Here is a 19,908-nt window from a genome sequence, read left to right on the forward strand (position 1 = left end):
AGAGCCGATTTCTGTTTCATGAGGCCAAGGAAACAATTTTAAGCAATATTTTATACTCTCTTTAGTGCTCCAAACACTGTTGTATACTTATTTGGTGCTAATGCTCGATGAACTGCAGAAATTTGTCTATGTACTGTACCACTTATCTATCGCTGTATAACAAATTGCCCCCAAATTAATGACTAAAGCAATAATGATTCACTGGTTCTTCTGCTGATCTTCTCTGGTAGGTGGGTGGGTATAGGCTCAGCCTCTTTCTCCATGTGGTCTGTCATCTTCATAGGGACTAACCCACACTTCTTACATGGCACCTGGATTTCAGGACAGCAAGCCCTAATGCACAAGCACTTATCAAGGTGCTTGCTGAGATCCTATTGGCCAAACAAGTCACAAGGCCAAGCCCAGCATCAGTGTGGAACTCTGCACAAAGGCATGAATGTCAGTAGGTGTGATTCATTGTAGGCCATCAGTGTTAGTCTACCACCAGGTATTTACATTGTTCTTTAGAGCAGAGACTTCCGGTGGTCCCCCAACAGCTGTTCTCCCTTGCTTCTGTATTAAGAGATCCCTGAATTCTGTTAATGAACTCATGATTGTCAAAAAAAGTTTTTTTTCCCTGTACCCCACAGTAAGGTGTGGCTTTGCATCCACGTTTTGATCAATGGGATGTAAGCGAAGGTGTATTGTGGCAGTTTCCAGGAATTTTCCTTAAGTGAGAACAGGCGTGTGCCTCTGGCTTTTTCTTTATGCCTTCCAGCACCCTGCTGTTTAAAACGTAGGTACGACTTTTGGCTGCCATCCTGGACCCTTAAGTACCCTCCAGGGATGATAGAGTTATGAGCTGAAGGTGCCTGTGTCCCTGAGGACTTCACTGAGCAGAACCTTCACTTAGTCCTAGAATTCCTACCTCTAGACTTTTACCTGGGATACTAATCTTTTATTTAATCTATTGTTATTTTGGGTTCTGTTATTAGCAGCTAACATAATCCTGTCATACTATTGAAATATAGTCTCTCTATGTTTTTAGGTCATACTCGACAGTATGTAATTTTTTTTTTTTTTTGAGACAGAGTCTCACTCTGTTGCCCAGGCTGGAGTCCAGTGGCGTGATCTCAGCTCACTGCAAACTCCACTTCCTGGGTTCAGGTGATTCTCTTGCCTTAGCCTCCTGAGTGGCTGGGACTACAGGCATGAGCCATCACGCCTGGGTAATTTTTGTATTTTTAGTACAGATAGGATTTCGCCATGTTGGCCAGGCTGGTCTTGAACTCCTGGCCTCAAGCGATCTGCATGCCTTGGTCTCTCAAAGTGCTGGGGTTACAGATGTGAGTCACCAAACCTGGCCCACAGTATGTAATTTCTTACCTTCCGCTCATCTTCACCCAAAACATTCTGATAGCCCTTATTGATTAGAAGAGGAGGAGAATGCATTAAGTTTAGTTGGCAGAAATTGTGTGAATTTAAAATCATGCATTTAGAGAAACATGTGTGGCTCATCAAGCCATTAAGAAAACAAAAAAGAGGAAACTACAAAATGTTTGCATTCCTGTAGCCCACAAGAGACAAATCTAGAACAATGCTGGGGTCTGGTCAAGTAGGGAAAGCTCTCAGTAAGACCAAGCACAAACCCCACTTCTGGTTTCCTTGGTTTGGGGCTGTCTCATGTTAATGATATTTTTCATGAGAAAAACCACATGCAAATGAAACAATTCGTTGTCCCCACTTGGAGGTGCAGTGGTGGTGGTGGGGAGAACTAGGGAAGGGTTTGTGCATCAGACAAAGGTTGGGATTACAAGGGTTGTAGATGAACGAGATGTGCCTTTAGTTACAGCCACTTCTTGAGTGCTGTATGTCTATGTGACTCCTGATGACTTGGTCAAAGAAAATATCAACACATTGCCTTAGCTGTTTTCCTTGATGGGGAGAAATCGACACACTTGGAAATGGAAGAATTTCCTCTCTTGTTGCAGTGGCTTTGTGCATTGGCTTGAGCTGCAGTCATCTGGCAGTTTGTTGCTTCAGTCACTGGCCCTGGCCCTTGCCACTGCCAGGCAGAGTTGAGCCTGCACTGAAGACATGAGAATACTGGATCAATACAAACGTTATGGAAAATGTTTTAACTTTTTCTTTTTTTAAAAGGCCTGCCTGTTATCTTTATACCTCTGTTACCCGCCCCACCACCCCAGAAATGAGCCAGAGCCTTTGTGATGGCTAGATTTGTTTGAACATTTAATCTCCTTCCCCATCTGTTTTGAGAAATATCTAGCCTCTTTATCAGAAGAGAGCTTAAAGTCTCACCAACATTCTTGCCCCAGGTGTCATGGGCTGAACTGTTTCCCTCAAATTTATATTTTGAAGTCTTAACTCCCAGTACCTCAGAATGAAACTGCATTTGGAGATAGGGTCTTTACGGAGGTAATTAAGTTAAAATGAGGTTGTTAGAGTCATTCATTGGAAAAGTATTTGTCAAATGTCTACTATGTGCCAGGCACATGTTAGGCATGCAGCCCCACTGGTTAGGAGAACAGATATAGACCTACCTTCAGAGACTGTCTGGCTTCGTGGACATGTAGCCTGTGTAGTCACTTAGTTCTCCATGTTAGAAAGACCCTGTGGTTGGTTTAATGCTCTGTTGCCACCATCTTGAAATTCTTAGTAATTTTTCAATGAGGAGTTCTGCATTTTTTTTCCTCTGGACCCTGCAAATTATGTAATTGGTCCTGCTCATGGAAATTGGTATAGTAGGAGAATCAATCATATTCTCTGCACTTAGGAGTGTGGTTTGGTGGCATGGAGAGAAGGTCAGTGTAGCAGAAGTAGTACAGTATAAAAAGATGAAGATGATAATATTCACAATGGCGGGAAGGAGTGGAGTCTGCTGCTGGGGGATGAAAAGATACATGAGTGGAACAGCAGGGGTTCTTTTTTGTTTTCTTTACTTTTCCTCCCAGACCTTATTATTAACCTTGAATAATTCAGATAAACTGAACAGGTCTCTGTTCCTTGAAACCTGAAAGAATCTAACATGCACATATGGGAAGTTATTTAAGTCATGGGATTGAAATAGAGCAAGAAGAGAGGAGGATTGAAGACGCTTGAAGACCAGTGTTTCCCACACTATCTGTGAAGGAACTTTTCATTCTTTTTCATTAACTGTTTGTCATGAAGTGATATTAACACTTTGGAATGTAAAATAGAAACAAATTGCAAAAAATTATAATGAAAACAGAGGCACACCAAATATTGTACAAGCTCACATTTTTTAGATTAAACAGAAATAGAATTACATTTCAATAAAAATTATCAGAACAAACATAAATAAAAGAAAAAATTACAAAATGTACATTGCTTATTGAAAGTGTCCAGATAGATAATTAATAAAGAGAATTGCCATTATCCTCCTAATATTTATCACCTCACAGCCGTAACAACTAACAAAAAGTTGGGAGTGAAGTAGTAATTTCCCACTAAACAACATGAATGTTAATATTTGAAGTTTTAATGTGAGAAATGAGTGGGCTCTTTGCTTGTTAAATTATCTAATCTAGGTTGGATTGGTGACATGCTACTTGCAGGAGATGATGTATATCTAAATTGTTTTTATATTTTATTTTAACAACACTAGTAGTAGAAAAACTAGTCTCTCAAAAATATGTTGAAGGGAACAGAAGAAGACTTAAAGCAATTTAACAATATCAGGATAATCACTTTTAACTTTTATCCTTAATGATGGAAACAATGCGTTATTTTCAAAATTCATCTTCAATCTTTCATCAGTAGCCAGTTTCAAAAACTGTCACTCAAGTTATCTTTCAATGAAATAAACGGATTTTGGATCCATGAATTTCTTGCATGTGGAGCTTGTTTTGATAGAAAATACTCAGATATTTTATCAAATTTATAATTAGTTTTTTAATATTTTGTATATAAATGTCCTTTAAGTTTGATGGCTTTATTGTTTCATTAGTCTGTAATGATTTTAGCACTTCACTATGAGTTATGGCTACAAACTCAATAACAAGGGATTATACTTCTGAGTAAAATTAGTACAAACTCCTATTTGTTTAATTCTTTGGAATTACTTCTCTGATCATTATTTAGTTTACTACTGTGATTACTAACACATTACTGATGTGTGTCTTGTATTGGCAAAATTGGACAGTAAGGATTGTTTTGCCATCTATAATTTAGGGTTAAAAACAAATGACACAAATTTTACTCCCCTAATTTAGCTAAGAATTTACAAAAAATAGGCTTGATTAAAAATGAAAATGATTGTAAAAATAACAAGTTATATAAGTAAATAAATATTTACATTTTCATAGATTTTTACTCTTGGGTTGCAGGTGACAAACCTTGAAATTTTACTCATTGTAATATCGTACTATTGCATATGACAGGGACACAACCATGCCACCTGCAACTCAAGAACCAGGTTGAAGAATACCTGAACTGTTTAACAAGCAATGTCCAATGATCATGCACTCGGATATTCCTGAAATGTCAAATTGATATAAACACTGCTAAGCACTTATCCTTTTAATTTCTGTACTTATTTCCTTGTGGACTAAACACAAACAGTTCGCAGACTGTCACTGGTCCAAGAACTACACTTTGAGTAGCATTACTCTAGGGAGCACTTGCATTGAAGGGACCGGCAGAAAGAGAACTAATGAAGGAATTTGTGAAGTAACAAGGGAGGAGAACAAGGAGACCATAGATTTGTGGAAGACTAGGGAATTTTTAAGAGGAAGTGGTTAACTATATTGACTGCAAGAAAGGTCAAGTAGGTTGAGGACCAAAAGAAGCCATGGGATTGACAACTATCATCAGTGACATTTGAAAGAGTGATTTCAGAAGGGGGCTCTTGGTGGTAGTGAAAGAAAGCCAGGGGCCAGCAGGCTGAGAAATTGGGGAAGCAGAGAGAACCAATGGGGACTACCCTTCTAAGAAGCTAGATGGTTAAGAAATGGAAATAGTGTGGTAGCTTGGGGGTATAAAAACTTTGAAGGAAGGCTTTTTAGAACGATGAAGACTTTTTAGACCCTTCCCCAAATTTTAATATCACTGAAGGAGTCTCAAACTGAAGAGAGTTCCCTCTCTAGATAGAAAATCTAAGAAATACATATATTTTTTGTAGGAGTCTTACAGCAATCTTCTTAAAATTACCAAGCAGGTTGGAAGAGATCCATGAATTTCAAGAAGTTCAGGGGGAATTTTTTTAAGACTCTGCTGAAATATATATATATATATATATATATATATATATATATATTTTTTGAGATGGGGTCTTGCTCTTGTCGCCTAGGCTGGAGTGCAGTGGCATGATCTCAGCTCACTGCAACCTCTGCCTCCTGGGTTCAAGTGATTCTCCTGCCTCAGCCTCCAGAGTAGCTGGGATTACAGGCACCTGCCACCACACTCAGCTAATTTCGTATTTTTGGTAGAGATGTGGTTTCACCATGTTTGCCAGCCTGGTCTCAAACTCCTGACCTCAGGTGATCCACCCGCCTTGGCCTCCCAAACTGCTGGGATTACAGGCGTGAGCCACCGTACCTGGTCTAGACTCTGCCGAAATTCTAATACTTCTTTGGTAATGCAACAGAAAACTAAAGATTTTGATGGTGAACTCAATTGCTTCTGAGTTGTGTGGATGAAAATATATTTTATTATTTTTTCCTTCAACTTTTAAGCTCCCAGGTATATGTGTAGGATGTGCAGGTTTGTTACACAGGTAAATGTGTGCTATGGTGGTGTGCTGCACAGATCAACCCATCACCATGGTATTAAGCCCAGCATCCATTAGCTCTCCTGATGCTCTCCCTCTCCCCACCCTTCCCCGCTACAGGCCCCAGTGTGTGTTGTTCCCCTTCCTGGGTCTATTTTATGGTATGTATGTGTGTATGTGTGTGTGTGTGTGTGTGTGTGTGTGTGTGTGTGTATCTATTTATGTGTATATATTATGATATATACACCACACTTTTTTCAAACTATTATTTTAGGTTTAGGGATACATGTGCAAGTTTGTTATATAGGTAAACTGTGTGTCTCTGGGGTTTGGTGTGTACAGATTTTTTCACCACCCAGGTAACAAGTGTAGTACCTGATAGGTAGTTTTTTGATCTTCTGTCCTCTCACCCTACACCCTCAAGTAATCCCCCAGTGTGTGTTGTTCCCCTCTTCATGTCCATGTGTTCTCATTGTTTAGCTCCCACTTATAAGTGAGAACATGCAGTGTTTGGTTTTCTGTTCCTGCGTTAGTTTGCTGAGGATAAAGGCTTCTGGCTCCATCCATGTTCCTGCAAAGGACATGATCTCATTCCTTTTTATGGCTGCAGGAAAATATATTTTACATACTAGTGAACATAGTTAAATTAATCCATGGTCAAGACATATATTCTTTTGTAAATTGAGAAATCTCTTTATCATAATTGTAATATGGTAATAAATAAATCTAGATTACATAAATGTAATCTAGATGTTGATAAACTGGTTTTAAATAAAGCAAGTGATATCTACGTATGAAGAGAGTTTACTTCAGTTCCTAGAACTTTCCTTCACTTTCCTGCCATCCCTACTTTTAGTAAGCAAGCATTTACTGTGTGTGTAACACTGTGCTAGGTACTAAGGCAATGATGATACCCAAGATTTGGTCTCTATCCTGAAGATAAGCACAGGAGAAACATTATCAGTCATGATGCTTTCTGTTGCAAACAAGTGAAAACCTCAGCTCAGCTTAGGTCAGCTCCAGGGCTGGCCAAATCAGAGGCTCATTTATAACACTGAGGATCCAGATTCTTTTGAAATTCCTCCTGCACCAATATCAGCATTTCTACCTTCTCTGTAGGTTGGCTTGCCTCACGTTACAATGGCTGCAGCAATCAGAAGTGTCACATCCTCAGTAATACTTAATATTATTACTATTATTTAATAATATTTAGAACTGTGCCATCCCTGTTTCAATTTATCAGGCTCCCAGCAGACTACTCCTTATCTTTCAAATGTCAAAACTGCATCCTGAGCTCTTGCCTAAACTAATCTGGGGTGAGGTGAATGGAAGTAGCACTTTAATTGTATTCATTCTTTGTAGCTGGACCTGGGCCTGGGCCCTATCTCCTGACATTTGCCCACAAGAAAGATTTCTGAAGTTAGGTAGGACTGGCTGTTGAGTAGGCCAGTGCTTGCCAAACCTTTACACATCCTCACATATGTCATAATATGCAGATAAAAAGATAATCCCTTATACAACTTGCTGGGATAAACTCAGGAGGCTTACAGCCATGACCTGCTTGAAGGTTCTTCCTGCCTTAGACCTTGCTCAGCTGCTCCAGGATGAGGGGATTTACATCACAGCACAACTGTATTTTATTCACAGCATAAACCATCTCTTTCCTTCTCAGTTGACGAGTTCAGATGGGCAATAACAGTGTCTGCCAAAGAGAAAAAAAAATGTATTCAAACTAGATAATCTATTGGTACAAATACCGAGACACAGAAGTGATAACAGCTTTAAGCCAATGTTTGATGGTGGTAGTCCCAGCAAGCTCTTTTCTGATGTCTTTGTGCCTTTGCACATGCTCCTTCTCTGTCACTGTTTTCTTCATCAAACATAATATAATGGACAAGTGGAATCAAATAGAATTGAGTTCAAATTCTCTGCTACCCATCGGCCCTGGTATTGGACAAATTAACTCCTCTGAGCCTGTTTCCTCATCTGCAACGTAGACTAGCTAATACTACCCATTGGAAAGCGTTGTTTCTTAGCTAATGCATGCAAGGCTTAAAACCTAGATGACGGGTTGATAGGTGCAGCAAACCTCCATGGCATACGTATGCCTATGTAACAAACCTACACGTTCTGCACTTGTATCCCGGAACTTAAAGTAAAAAAAAAAAAAAAAAAAGAAAAGAAAGAAAGAAAAAGAAAAAAAAGGCTGTTTCTGGGGATTAAATAAGACAATTATGTAAGGTGGCCAGCACAGTTCCTGGTACATAGTAAATGTCAGGCCTGCCTGACAGACTTCTATTCAGCAGCTACTGCTCCCCTGAAAATCTTCCTCAGACGTTTCCACGGTGCTTCCCGTTCTTACACCACTACAATCCTTTATTACACTACTATCCGTTCATTCCCCACAGCTCCCTCCCTTCCTTTCCCTAACCAGTGATCCCAAAAGGCCAGCAAGTGTCTAACATTTTCTATCTTCTAAGTGACTGGTAAAGTTCCGCACCTATCAGCGCTCCAAGTTTGTTTTTGTTTTGGCCGACTTTGCAAAACGGATTGGGCGGGATGAGAGGTGGGGGGCGCCGCCCAAGGAGGGAGAGTGGCGCTCCCGCCGAGGGTGCACTAGCCAGATATTCCCTGCGGGGCCCGAGAGTCTTCCCTATCAGACCCCGGGATAGGGATGAGGCCCACAGTCACCCACCAGACTCTTTGTATAGCCCCGTTAAGTGCACCCCGGCCTGGAGGGGGTGGTTCTGGGTAGAAGCACGTCCGGGCCGCGCCGGATGCCTCCTGGAAGGCGCCTGGACCCACGCCAGGTTTCCCAGTTTAATTCCTCATGACTTAGCGTCCCAGCCCGCGCACCGACCAGCGCCCCAGTTCCCCACAGACGCCGGCGGGCCCGGGAGCCTCGCGGACGTGACGCCGCGGGCGGAAGTGACGTTTTCCCGCGGTTGGACGCGGCGCTCAGTTGCCGGGCGGGGGAGGGCGCGTCCGGTTTTTCTCAGGGGACGTTGAAATTATTTTTGTAACGGGAGTCGGGAGAGGACGGGGCGTGCCCCGACGTGCGCGCGCGTCGTCCTCCCCGGCGCTCCTCCACAGCTCGCTGGCTCCCGCCGCGGAAAGGCGTCATGCCGCCCAAAACCCCCCGAAAAACGGCCGCCACCGCCGCCGCTGCCGCCGCGGAACCCCCGGCACCGCCGCCGCCGCCCCCTCCTGAGGAGGACCCAGAGCAGGACAGCGGCCCGGAGGACCTGCCTCTCGTCAGGTGAGCGAGCAGAGCCGCCGTCGCCTCACGCGGGAAGGGCGCCCCGGGTGTGCGTAGGGCGGGCGCCAAGGCGGCTCGGCGGGGATCCGTCCTCGCCAGGGGCCGGGTCCCGGCGGGAGGAGGCGCCCTCCCTGCCCCCCGCCACGGCGGAGCGTCTGCAGAATGGTGACAGGATTCTGGGTTCTTGGGCGAGGGGTCTCGGCTTCAACTTGACAGGTGTCGGGCGGGTGGGGCTAGGGTCCTGAGCGAAGTGACAGGTGCAGTTCCCTCTTGTGAGGCTCGGAGGCAGAGGGTCGTTGCGAGCGTCCATCAGACGCAAAAAATGAAAAATAAAAATACAAAAATGGTGTCTGTGGGAGAGTTTTTCACCGGAGAATTGGAGTACTCCGGTGGTCGTCTGACTTTCTGTTTTGGTTCACGCGATGCAACAGTTGGGAAGTATTTTCTTCCGGGCGTGCACTGCATCTGAAGTCCATTTGTGGGAGAGGCCGACCAGAAAGCCTTGGACAAGAAGCGCAGGGTCCTGAGTGTCCATTGCCCACAGGATACTCGGCTCAGGAGCTTTGCGGCGTTTCCTTAGAACAATAATGCATCGAGGCCTTGGGGACTCAAAGCCATCTGTAGTGATTGATGGAGCGTAACTCTTTAGAGGAACTGAAACATGGGCAAAACTTTCATGAGACATTTACCAGAAGTGCTTGAAAGTTTCTAAACTTTTTTTTTTCCTGTTTGATGAACTCTTCTTGCGTGTTAGTCGGCTTCGGCTTGTCTCATTATTTCTTCCATTTTGCCTTTTGACTTTGAACCAGCAAGGATCTTGGTGTCCCCTCTTTTTGCCTTTGTTTTTGGCACAAAATTAGTGGTTCTGTGCGCAAATGGAAATTTTCGTTTTCCCTTATTAAGTGGAATCTAAATTTAAGCAAGTCCATACGAATGCACTAGATCTTGAAGGGAAGTATTTATTGTATTACAACATCTTACTTTTCTTGATTTTTCTACTTTATGGTTAAATAGCTATGATTGAAAGAGTGTAATTGTCATTATTGTCAGCACTGGTTCTACTTTGAGACAAGTTCATTGCAGAGGGAATGGGACTTGTTTCTGTTTTTCACTATTTTCTCTCCCATTCTTGTCTATCACCAAATCCTTTCACCCTCACCCATTTCTTTCCACTCGGTATACACTAACAATTCACGGCAGAAAAGATTGAAGTGGGATTTAGGAAATGGCCCCTGGAAGGCTATTAAAAATTTATATATTTAAATGGACTGTCTTATAGGTCAGTTAAAAACCATATTCGTTAAAAAACCAAAATAACAACAACAAAAAATTAAAAACCACGTCTGGGGCATGTTCTGGGAAAAGACATGGCTTTAGTTTCTGATTAAATTCTGATGTATCCAATTCTTGCAAATTTCCCTTGGGAAAATGCAGTAATGGCTACTCTAAAGAATTCCATGTTATGCACACAGCTTTGGAAGCATACTCTAATGTAGGGTAACCAGGAATATTGACGTTGTGGCCACTGCTTGGAAAAAAGAGGACTGTTTCTTTCATTTTTTAACTCATTTTATATATTTTAAGTAATGGAACTATAAAAAATTCTCTTATAAGTCAAAACCATACAAGATACAGTCTGTTCTTGATTATCCATACCCACAAAGGGTTTCATTAACATAGACAGTTGAACTCTATAAATTAACCAGCAAGGGTAGAACCGCTGCCGTGCAGTCTGATACTGAGCATCTTGCCTGGAGATGGAATCAAGGCTCAGTCCAACTGCACCTCCAGTGACAGATTCCATTCCTGATTTGAGAGTTTAGATCTTATTTCTGTTGCCTTATCTCTGGCCTAAGTAATGTAGCTGGAAGGGAAACTGTCACTAGGAACAGCATACCACATTCATTGTTGAAATAATCAAAGGTTAATCATGTTTCGAGCTGGGTGTGATGGCGCGTACCTGTAGTCCATGCTACTCAGGAGGCTGAGGCAGGAGGATCACATGAGCTTGGGAGTTGGAGGCCAGCCTGGGCAACAAAGCAAGACCCCAGTCTTTAAAAAAACAAAAAAGCTGACCAGGCATGTTGGCTCACGCCTGTAATGCCAGCACTTTGGGAGGCCAAGATGGGAAGATTGCTTGAGGCCAGGAGTTTGAGAGGAGCCTGGGCAACAAAACAAGACCCTGTCTCTAAAACAAATTTTAAAAAATTAGCCAGTGGCTGTGGCACACCTGTAGGCTCATCTACTCAGGAGGCTGAGGTGGGAGGATCCCTTGAGCCCAGGAGTTTGAGACTGCAGTGAGCCATGATTTCACCACTGCACCCCAGCCTGGATGACAGAGTGAAACCCTATTTCAAAACAAGAAAAAAAAACAAAAACTAATTATGTTTTGAAGGAGGAATTGGCAGTCTAGAATAGTGGTCAAGGGCATGGATTATAGAGTTAGACTGTTGGGCTCACATAGTGGTTTACCTCTTACCGGCTGAGACCTCAGGTAAGTTCTTTAACTTCTCCAATTTGACAGACATCTGTAAATGTCTACTTTTACAGATGAGAATACTTATCTAAAAGGGCTGATGTCGGGATTCAGTGAAACCATATGTTTAAGGTACTTTCTACAGGATCATAGTAAATACTCAAAAATTATTAATTATTCTTCATACTATTCTTATTAGTAGATAACACATAGAAATTAGATGAATGAAAATGAATTAGCCAACAAGAATTTATTAAATGCTTGTCTTTGTTAAGGGGAAAGGACAAAAATAAGCAGTCGCATCATGTAAGATGTGCTAGTAGGTAGAGAGATATATGAAACATTGATAAGAGAAGACTACAGTTTAACAAAGTCACTGGCGTTGAATTGTATAATATTATCTATGGGTTTTTATCTTTTTGTTGTTATCTTTATCCTATTTTCCCAAACAGCTTTAGCTATTACATTTACTTTCCTTCACAGAAGTGTTTTGCTGCTTTGAAGTATATTTGACTTACCATGCAAGCAAATATTTTTCACTGTGTGGTATCCTTATTTTGGAATGACCATGAAAAAGATAATCATATGTTTAAATTTGAAGTGTAATGTTTTTCTAAGATAAAATAAGATCTTAAAGTATTTAATAATGTTCTTTTTCACAGTAGTGTTATGTGCAAACTATTGAAACAAGTATGTACTGAATCAATTTGATTTATAAGTATATGCCAATTATATGATTATTTTCATTTGGTAGGCTTGAGTTTGAAGAAACAGAAGAACCTGATTTTACTGCATTATGTCAGAAATTAAAGATACCAGATCATGTCAGAGAGAGAGCTTGGTTAACTTGGGAGAAAGTTTCATCTGTGGATGGAGTATTGGTAAGGATTTTCTTAAAACGTTTTGAAATTTTTTTTTCTCATTTTAAAAACAACTTCAAATCACTATACAAAAATTGAAAGATAGAAAAATATAAAGACAATAAAAGCTAATAATAATTCCATTACCCAGAGGAAATTTACCTCTGCTAACATTAAAAATGTTTGAGGCCGGGCACGGTGGTTCATGCCTGTAATCCTACCACTTTGGGAGGCTGAGGCAGGTGGATTGCCTGAGCTCAGGAGTTCGAGACCAGCCTGGGCAACATGGTGAAACCCTGTCTCTACTAAAATACAAAAAAAAAAAAAAAAATTAGCAGGGTGTGGCGTGCGCCTGTAGTCCCAGCTATTTGGGAAGCTGAGGCAGGAGAATTGCTTGAACCCAGGAGGTGGAGGTTACAGTGAGCCGAGATCGTGCCACTGCACTCCAGCCTGGCAACAGAGCGAGAGTCTGTCTCAAAAAAAAAAAAAGTTTGAAAAAAATTCCTCCATAAATGCCTCCCACCAAACTATTTTAAAGCAGGTCTTAGTTATATTTTATTCACTATGATACAAGGACTTTTAAAAAAACACCGCCATACCTTATAAAATAATTTTTATACCTTCTAATATGCAATCAGTGTTCAGATTTCCTGACTGACTCAGAATTAGTTTTGTTAGAATTCAGGATCTTGAAAATATATTGATATATTCCTTTCATTTTTTCTTTGCGTAAGTATAGATGTATATGTTTAATAAAAGGAGCAAATAATTACTAGAGTTTTATATGTACTGGGGCAATAGTATAAGAATTTTACATAGCCGGGCATGGTGGTGTGTGCCTATAGTCCCAGCTACTTGGGAGGCTGAGGTGGGACGATCACTTGAACCTGGGAGGTGGAGGTTACAGTAAGCCAAGATCGCACCACTGCACTCCAGCCTGGGCAACACAGGAAGACCCTGTTGCAAAAAAAAATAAATAAAAATAAGGCTGGGCGTGGTGGCTCAAACCTGTAATCCCAGCACTTTGGGAGGCCCAGGCAGGTGATCACTTGAGGTCAGGAGTTCTAGACCAGCCTGGCCAACATGGTGAAACCCCATCTCTACTAAAAATACAAAAATTAGCCAGGCATGGTAGCAGATGCCTGTAATCTCAGCTACTTGGGAGGGTGAGGCAGGAGAATTGCTTGAACCTGGGAGGCAGAGTTTGCAGTGAGCCGTGATCATGCCACTGCACTCCAGACTAGGCAACAGAGAAGACTCCATCTCAAAAAAAAAACAAAAAAAACCCCAGAACTTTACAAATCTACGAATAACTCATTTAAAAATCATTGAGATATGAAATATAAAATCTTTTTTTATGTGTAAAATGTGAAATGTTCATTTAACAGATGAAGACACTGAGTAGAGTGAGGTTGAGTAACTTGACCAAGGTCCCTAGGAAATAAGATCTCAAATATAAATTTGAGATTATACATGTAGTTATGTATAGTTACCTGTAGTTACACATAGTTTTGTATTTTCCTGTTTTTTTCTCATATGAGCATTTTCTTATTAAAGTTTTTTTGTAATATAGTTTCTAGTGATAGTATAATATTTTAGCTAGTGGATGTATTTTAATTTGTTAACTCTTACTGGATATTTGGGTTTTTTCCAACTTTTTGATGCTATAAAATAATGTAATAAACATTTGTATTCGTAAGAATAATGCCTGGCACAAAGTGAGTCCTTGATAACTTGTTAAATAAATTAATGAATGAATCTCTGATTATTTTATTAGAATAAATTCTTATAAGTTGAATTACTAAATCAAAAGCTATGAACATTTTTATGACTCTTGATGATTATTGCTAGATTACACTTCAGACAGATACTTTTAATGAATTTACTTTCTCAACATAGTAGTATAAGAGTATATATCTGTTTTTACTGATCTGATTAACACAGCGGAATGTGTTTATGTATGTCCCATAAGAAAATTGTTTAAAACCATTAAATAAAATCTCTGGCAGTAAAAAGGAGAAAACAAGTGTCATGATTTCCAAAGAATTGAACATAGTCTCACATTTCTTATGTAAAAAGAGAGGAATACTGAAGTATCTTGAATGTATGACTTGGGTATTATAATCCCCAGGCATCTAATGTATATTTTAACTGACTTGGGTACCTCATGTACAAAGCTGTTTTTGTGCATATACAATTAAATGGGATCAGAGCTCCTTCACTTTTCTCTTCCTAAAATACTAGATTTTTAGTGTTCAGAAATTTTGGAAGGGATAGCTGATTATAAAGAGCATTAGTGAATATACATACTGTAGTTTTCAATTTATAAGTGCATTGTGTTCCAAATCTGTTTGCAAGTTTGATATAGTAGTTAGGTTTCCAGCCTGGTTCACATAACTTATTTTTTTTTGTACTAAACTATAACAATAATAGTTTTAACAGTAGAGGCTCTTTTGAGCTTCAGAATTGAATACATATATAAGCAAATGTTACTGCTTTATTACCCTTTTTCATCCTGGCTTTGTCTCTACCTTCCCTGGGAACTGGCCCAGTTTGAATCTTATTTCCTAATGGAGCTCATAATGGGGACTAGGATGTGTGAAATTATTTATGGCTAGGTACTGGAGGAAGGTAAGAAAGGAATTTCATGTTATTTTTGGGATTTGAGGTGTGCTTTTGAAGGGTATGATGGAAGATGATGTCCTGTTGTCCTGTTGTAAATCAACAGACTTTTCCTTGAAATATGATTTTAAGTTAGAGTTACGTTTTTGAGGTTTGGCCTGAGAATTTAACCTTCATTTATATAATAATATCTAAGGGAGAATGTGATACAGTGTGTTCTAAGAAGCAAATGTAATGACAGAATAAATGTGTTTCCAGTGCAGCTATTCTAGTGGCAGTTGTCTCTCTTCTTTGAAACAAGAGGAGGAATATTGTCAAAAAGGAAACCCTTTTTAACAATAGAAAGTAGGTGATGTTTATTGGGATAGAGGATGGGTTAAGAGCAAGGATTAAGAGTCAAACAGATATACCATGTCCGAACTCCATTATCTTGAACATGTTATCTACAATTTTCAAGCCTTAGTTTTCTTACCTGTAAAAGGGACTGACAGTAATTTCTGGATCTTGGAGTTATGTGCAGATTAAATAAATTAATGCATATAAAGCTCTTATTAGAGTCAATGAGTATGTATATTAGGTCTTGCAAACAGAATAATTTTACTTAAGAAATACCCCAGAAAATTTTATCATTGATGTATTTTTTTTTAGGAGAACTTAGGATATCAGTTAAAATGGTTACAATTTTAAATGCATTGTAGTGATTTTGATGTAGTAATGTTTGTTAAAATTCTTATTTTTAAGTACTTTAGCATCAGAAAAGTTGTTTATGCATACATGAAAGCATATATTAATCCCTTTAAAGGAAAAGTTTGTGGTATTTTGTCTAGAAAAGTGTTTTCTTTTTTTAAAATAAATATTTAGTAAAGTGTAATAATAAAGATTAGCTTTGTTCATAAGGTTAGATTGTATTTATGCTGATTATAGCATATGAATAGGACTTTCCATTAAGAAATTGGCTAAGGTGATGTTCATATTGTGACTTAAGGTGAATCAGCTGTTAGAATTTTGGTTTACTTTCTGCATCTTGATTGGTAGTATGGTAGAATGGAAAATGCCTTGGACCTCAAGGCAGGAAACTTTGGTTGTAATTATATTGTAGCTATATGATTTTAGGCAAATTGGTTAATTCTGTGAGTCTCAGTTTGCTCACCTGTAAGGCAGAAATAATGCCTGAATGTGAACCTCATAGGCTTTTTGTTATACATACATATATATGTATATGAAATGTATGATATACATATCTCAAAGAGCTTTGGGATATATTGCTCTTGATAGAACCACTTACTTATTTTTGTGATATGGTGGTTATATTTTAAATAAATACAGTCATGTGTTGCTTAACAATGGGAACACATCTGAGAAATGCATCATTAGGTGATTTCATCGTTGTGTGAACATCATAGCATGTACTTACACAAACCTGGATGGTATAGCCTATGACACACCTATGCTGTGTGGTATATAGCATGTTGCTCCTAGTCTGCAAATGTGTACAGCATGTTACTGTACTGAACATTGTAGGCAATTGTAACACAATGGTAAGTATTTGTATATCTATACATAGAAAAGGTACAGTAGATCATCCATATCCTTACTGATTTTCTTTCTATGTGTTTTACTAATTATTGAGGGAGAAATATGAAGCCTCCAACTATAATTAGAATGGTCCTTTTAAATTCTGTTTTTTATTAATGTATTTTTTATTTTATTTTATTTTGAGATGGAGTCTTGCTCTGTCACCCAGGCTGGAGTGCGTGGCACGATCTCGGCTCACTGCAACCTCTGCCTCCCGGGTCCAAGCGATTCTCCTGTCTCAGCCTCCCGAGTAGCTGGGATTATAGGCATGCGCCACCACACCCGGCTAATTTTTGTATTTTTAGTAGAGACGGGGTTTCACCGTGTTAGTCAGGCTGGTCTCGAACTCCTGACCTCATGATCTGCCCTCGGCCTCCCAAAGTGCTGGCATTACAGGCGTGAGCCACTGTGCCTGGCCTTTATTAGTGTATTTTAAAGCTTTATCCTTGGGTACATACAAGTTTAGAATTTTTATGCCTTTTAGGTAAATTGGTACCTTTATCATTATGTAATGTGCTTTTTTATCCAAATTTATATCTTTTGTTCTGCAGTGTCCACATATCGATTCCACTTTTCTTGTGATCACTCTTTACAATGTGTATCGTTTACCTTCATTTTGATTTTAACCTATTTCTTTTTTATATTTAAATGGATTTTTGTTGTTTTGTAATCAGCATTCATTAAAAATTTTTAGCTGAATACTTTTTACTTTTGTTAGGGTTCCCTGTGTCTCTTCCTTTCATGTTGTGCCACAGATGAGCCATTATTTATATCTTTTCTCTCATTGGAGGTTCCTTTTTTTAGGGGAAATTAAATAATCTGAAATATAAGGAAAGGATATGTTGATTTCAAGAAAGGTTGTTTTTGTTCCTTATCTGGCTTGTTCTTGTTGTGAGGGTGGGAGCAATACTCTTTGCAGCTTTCTGCATTCTAGGAAGAAGTGGAATTTTACACTACCATTTGCTTTCTTTACAGGTTTACCTTGGTATTCAGTGTCTGTCCATAGGACTAATTAAAACTATACCAGACTCCTTCTATTTTAAACCTATCCGTTCAGTCTCAAGTTATCTTTTTGCATTGCCTCTCACGTCTGTCCCTTCATTTCTTTTACCAGCAGTGCTTGGTTTTTACTGTTTGCTTTGGTTTTAATTTCCTTTTTATTTTTTTAATTTCAGAAGGTGGAAGCTTATGTCATTGACTTGAGCATTTTTTATGCATGTTTTAGTGCCTCTTTCTGACTAGTCTCTTCTTTTCTCCATCCAATCCATCCTGTGCCTGATTTTTAGAAAAGACTGGTGTACAGTTTGCCCCTTTTGCTTTAAAATTTATTTTTCATTGTTACAACCCACTCTCAGTAGCCTCCATTGTAACACCCTCCCATGCTCCCACCACCATTATGAAGAAGTAAAGTCCAAACTTTCTCAGTATTTGTAGTTCTTCATGGTCTGTGCTTTAACCTTCCTTCCAGTCTTATTTTTTATTTCCATTGTTGGCCCCCAATGCCTGTGTTCTCTTCCCTTCCATATGAATCTTCCATATGAATATCTTCCATATGAATATGATAGTATTCATATTCATGCGATCTCCCCTTTTTTTGGAATACCCTTCTTTTTTCTTTTAGCCTAAATTCTGTTTTTAAGATGCAGTTAAAGCTTCTCCTTTATGCATATCTCTTATAAGATATATTATTTGCAGACTTTTCCCCCCATTCTGTGAGTTGCCTTTTCACTTTCTTGATGATGTCATTTGCAGCGTAGGATTTTAATTTTGATGAAGTCCAGTTTTCTATTTTTTTTTTGGTGGTGGTTTTTTTTTTGGTTGCTTGGGCTTTTGATGTTGTATCTAAGAAGGCCTTGACTAACCCAAGGTCATGAAGACTTATTCTGTGCTTTCTTCTAAAAGTCATATGGTTTTTAGTTCTTGTCAGTCTTGGGTTTTTTTTTGTTTTTTTTTTTTGAGTTAATTTTTGTGTATGATGTGAGGAAGAGGTCTAACTCCAGTCTTTTGAATGTGGATATCCAGTTGTCTCTGCACCACTTATGGAAAAGACTATTCTTTCTTCATTGAATTGTTTTGGTGCCCTTGATGAAAATCAGTTGACTATAAAAACCAGGGTTTATTTCTGGAGTCTCAGTTCTATTCCATTGCTCTGTATGTTTATTCTTTTTTTTTTTTTTTTTTTTTGAGACGGAGTCTCGCTCTGTCGCCCAGGCTGGAGTGCGGTGGCACAATCTCGGCTTCCTGCAAGCTCCGCCTCCCGGGTTCATGCCATTCTCCTGCCTCAGCCTCCCAAAGAGCTGGGACTACAGGTGCCTGCCACCACGCCCGGCTAATTTTTCTGTATTTTTAGTAGAGACGGGGTTTCACTGTGTTAGCCAGGATGGTCTCGATCTCCTGACCTCGTGATCGCCCACCTCGGCCTCCCAAAGTGCTGGGATTACAGGCGTGAGCCACCGCGCCTGGCCGTATGTTTATTCTTATGATAGTACCATACTGTTTTGTAGTATGTTTTATAGCTTTGTAGTATGTTTTGAAATAGGGAAGTGTGAGTTCGACAACTTTGGTTTTCTTTTTCAAGATTACTTTTGTTACTCTTGGTACTTGAATTTCCATGTGAATTTTTAGGATCAATTTGTCAATTTCTGTTTTAAAAAAAGGCAGCTGGGATTTTGATAGGGATTATGTTGGATCTAGATCAATTTGCGGAATATTGCATTCTTAACAACATGAAGTCTTCAGATGCATGCATATGGAATGTCTTTTCGTTTAAGTCTTTCTTTCACCAGTGTTTTCAGTTTTCAGAGTATAAATCTTACTAAATATTTATTCTTGGTGATATTATTATAAATGGAATTGTTTTCTTTCCTTTTTGGCTTATTCATTGTAGGTGGATAGAAATAAAATCTATTTTTTTTGGATAAGAGCAGCTAAAATCAGTTGGGCACGGAGGCTCACGCCTGTAATCTTAGCACTTTGGGAGGCCGAGGTGGGTGGATCACTTGAGGTCAGGAATTTGAGACCAGCCTGGCCAACATGGTGAAACCCTGTCTCTACTAAAAATACAAAAAATTAGCTGGGTGTGGTGGCATGCGCCTGTAGTCCCAGCTACTCTGGAGGCTGAGGCAGGAGAATCGCTTGAACCCGGGAGGCGGAGGTTGCAGTGAGCCGAAGTCGTGCCACTGCACTCCAGCCTGGGCAAAAAAAAAAAGAAAAAGCAGCTAAAATCTATGTATTTAACAAAAATCTCTAATACAGTACCATTTTATTTATTATAGTCCTCATGTTGTATATTAGATCTCTGGACTTGTTCATCCTATGTATTTGCTACTTCGTATCCTTTGAACTACATCTTTTCAAAGGATGAAATTGGGTAATGTGATGCCTCTAG

The 19,908-nt window shown here is 39.5% G+C and overlaps 1 protein-coding gene and 1 long non-coding RNA gene across 5 annotated transcripts in view, besides 5 other annotated features; one reads left to right on the plus strand and one right to left on the minus strand.

The window, feature by feature from the left end:
• Nucleotides 1-1,450: 1,450 nt before the first annotated feature.
• RB1-DT (RB1 divergent transcript) lies at nt 1,451-8,640 on the minus strand. Its single transcript, NR_046414.2, has 3 exons — nt 8,229-8,640; nt 7,277-7,430; nt 1,451-2,068 (listed from the first exon to the last, which is right to left on the minus strand). It is a non-coding gene; the product is annotated as an RB1 divergent transcript (long non-coding RNA).
• Nucleotides 7,817-8,542: an enhancer, noted in NCBI's record as "NANOG-H3K27ac-H3K4me1 hESC enhancer chr13:48877015-48877740 (GRCh37/hg19 assembly coordinates)". NCBI's record gives its function as "activates a minimal SCP1, AML or CMV promoter by ChIP-STARR-seq in primed H9 embryonic stem cells {active_cell/tissue: H9 hESC(primed)}" and the evidence as "EXISTENCE:reporter gene assay evidence [ECO:0000049][PMID:30033119]".
• Nucleotides 8,543-9,266: an enhancer, noted in NCBI's record as "NANOG-H3K27ac-H3K4me1 hESC enhancer chr13:48877741-48878464 (GRCh37/hg19 assembly coordinates)". NCBI's record gives its function as "activates a minimal SCP1, AML or CMV promoter by ChIP-STARR-seq in primed H9 embryonic stem cells {active_cell/tissue: H9 hESC(primed)}" and the evidence as "EXISTENCE:reporter gene assay evidence [ECO:0000049][PMID:30033119]".
• RB1 (RB transcriptional corepressor 1) overlaps nt 8,689-19,908 on the plus strand; it is a 178,140-nt gene continuing 166,920 nt past the window's right edge. For all 4 annotated transcript variants that reach the window (NM_001407165.1, NM_000321.3, NM_001407166.1 and 1 more), the window contains exons 1-2: nt 8,689-8,987; nt 12,218-12,344. In NM_001407165.1, the coding sequence (NP_001394094.1) occupies nt 8,851-8,987; nt 12,218-12,344 (264 nt within the window). In that variant the 5' untranslated portion in view covers nt 8,689-8,850. The remainder of the gene's footprint in view (nt 8,988-12,217; nt 12,345-19,908) is intronic.
• Nucleotides 8,841-9,130: a silencer, noted in NCBI's record as "silent region_5333". NCBI's record gives its function as "represses an Ori minimal core promoter by ATAC-STARR-seq in GM12878 lymphoblastoid cells {active_cell/tissue: GM12878}" and the evidence as "EXISTENCE:reporter gene assay evidence [ECO:0000049][PMID:35858748]".
• Nucleotides 9,341-9,390: an enhancer, noted in NCBI's record as "active region_7726". NCBI's record gives its function as "activates an Ori minimal core promoter by ATAC-STARR-seq in GM12878 lymphoblastoid cells {active_cell/tissue: GM12878}" and the evidence as "EXISTENCE:reporter gene assay evidence [ECO:0000049][PMID:35858748]".
• Nucleotides 9,631-9,700: an enhancer, noted in NCBI's record as "active region_7727". NCBI's record gives its function as "activates an Ori minimal core promoter by ATAC-STARR-seq in GM12878 lymphoblastoid cells {active_cell/tissue: GM12878}" and the evidence as "EXISTENCE:reporter gene assay evidence [ECO:0000049][PMID:35858748]".

The sequence above is a fragment of the Homo sapiens genome, chromosome 13 (assembly GCF_000001405.40).
Source record: "Homo sapiens chromosome 13, GRCh38.p14 Primary Assembly".
Classification (NCBI taxonomy): domain Eukaryota; kingdom Metazoa; phylum Chordata; class Mammalia; order Primates; family Hominidae; genus Homo; species Homo sapiens.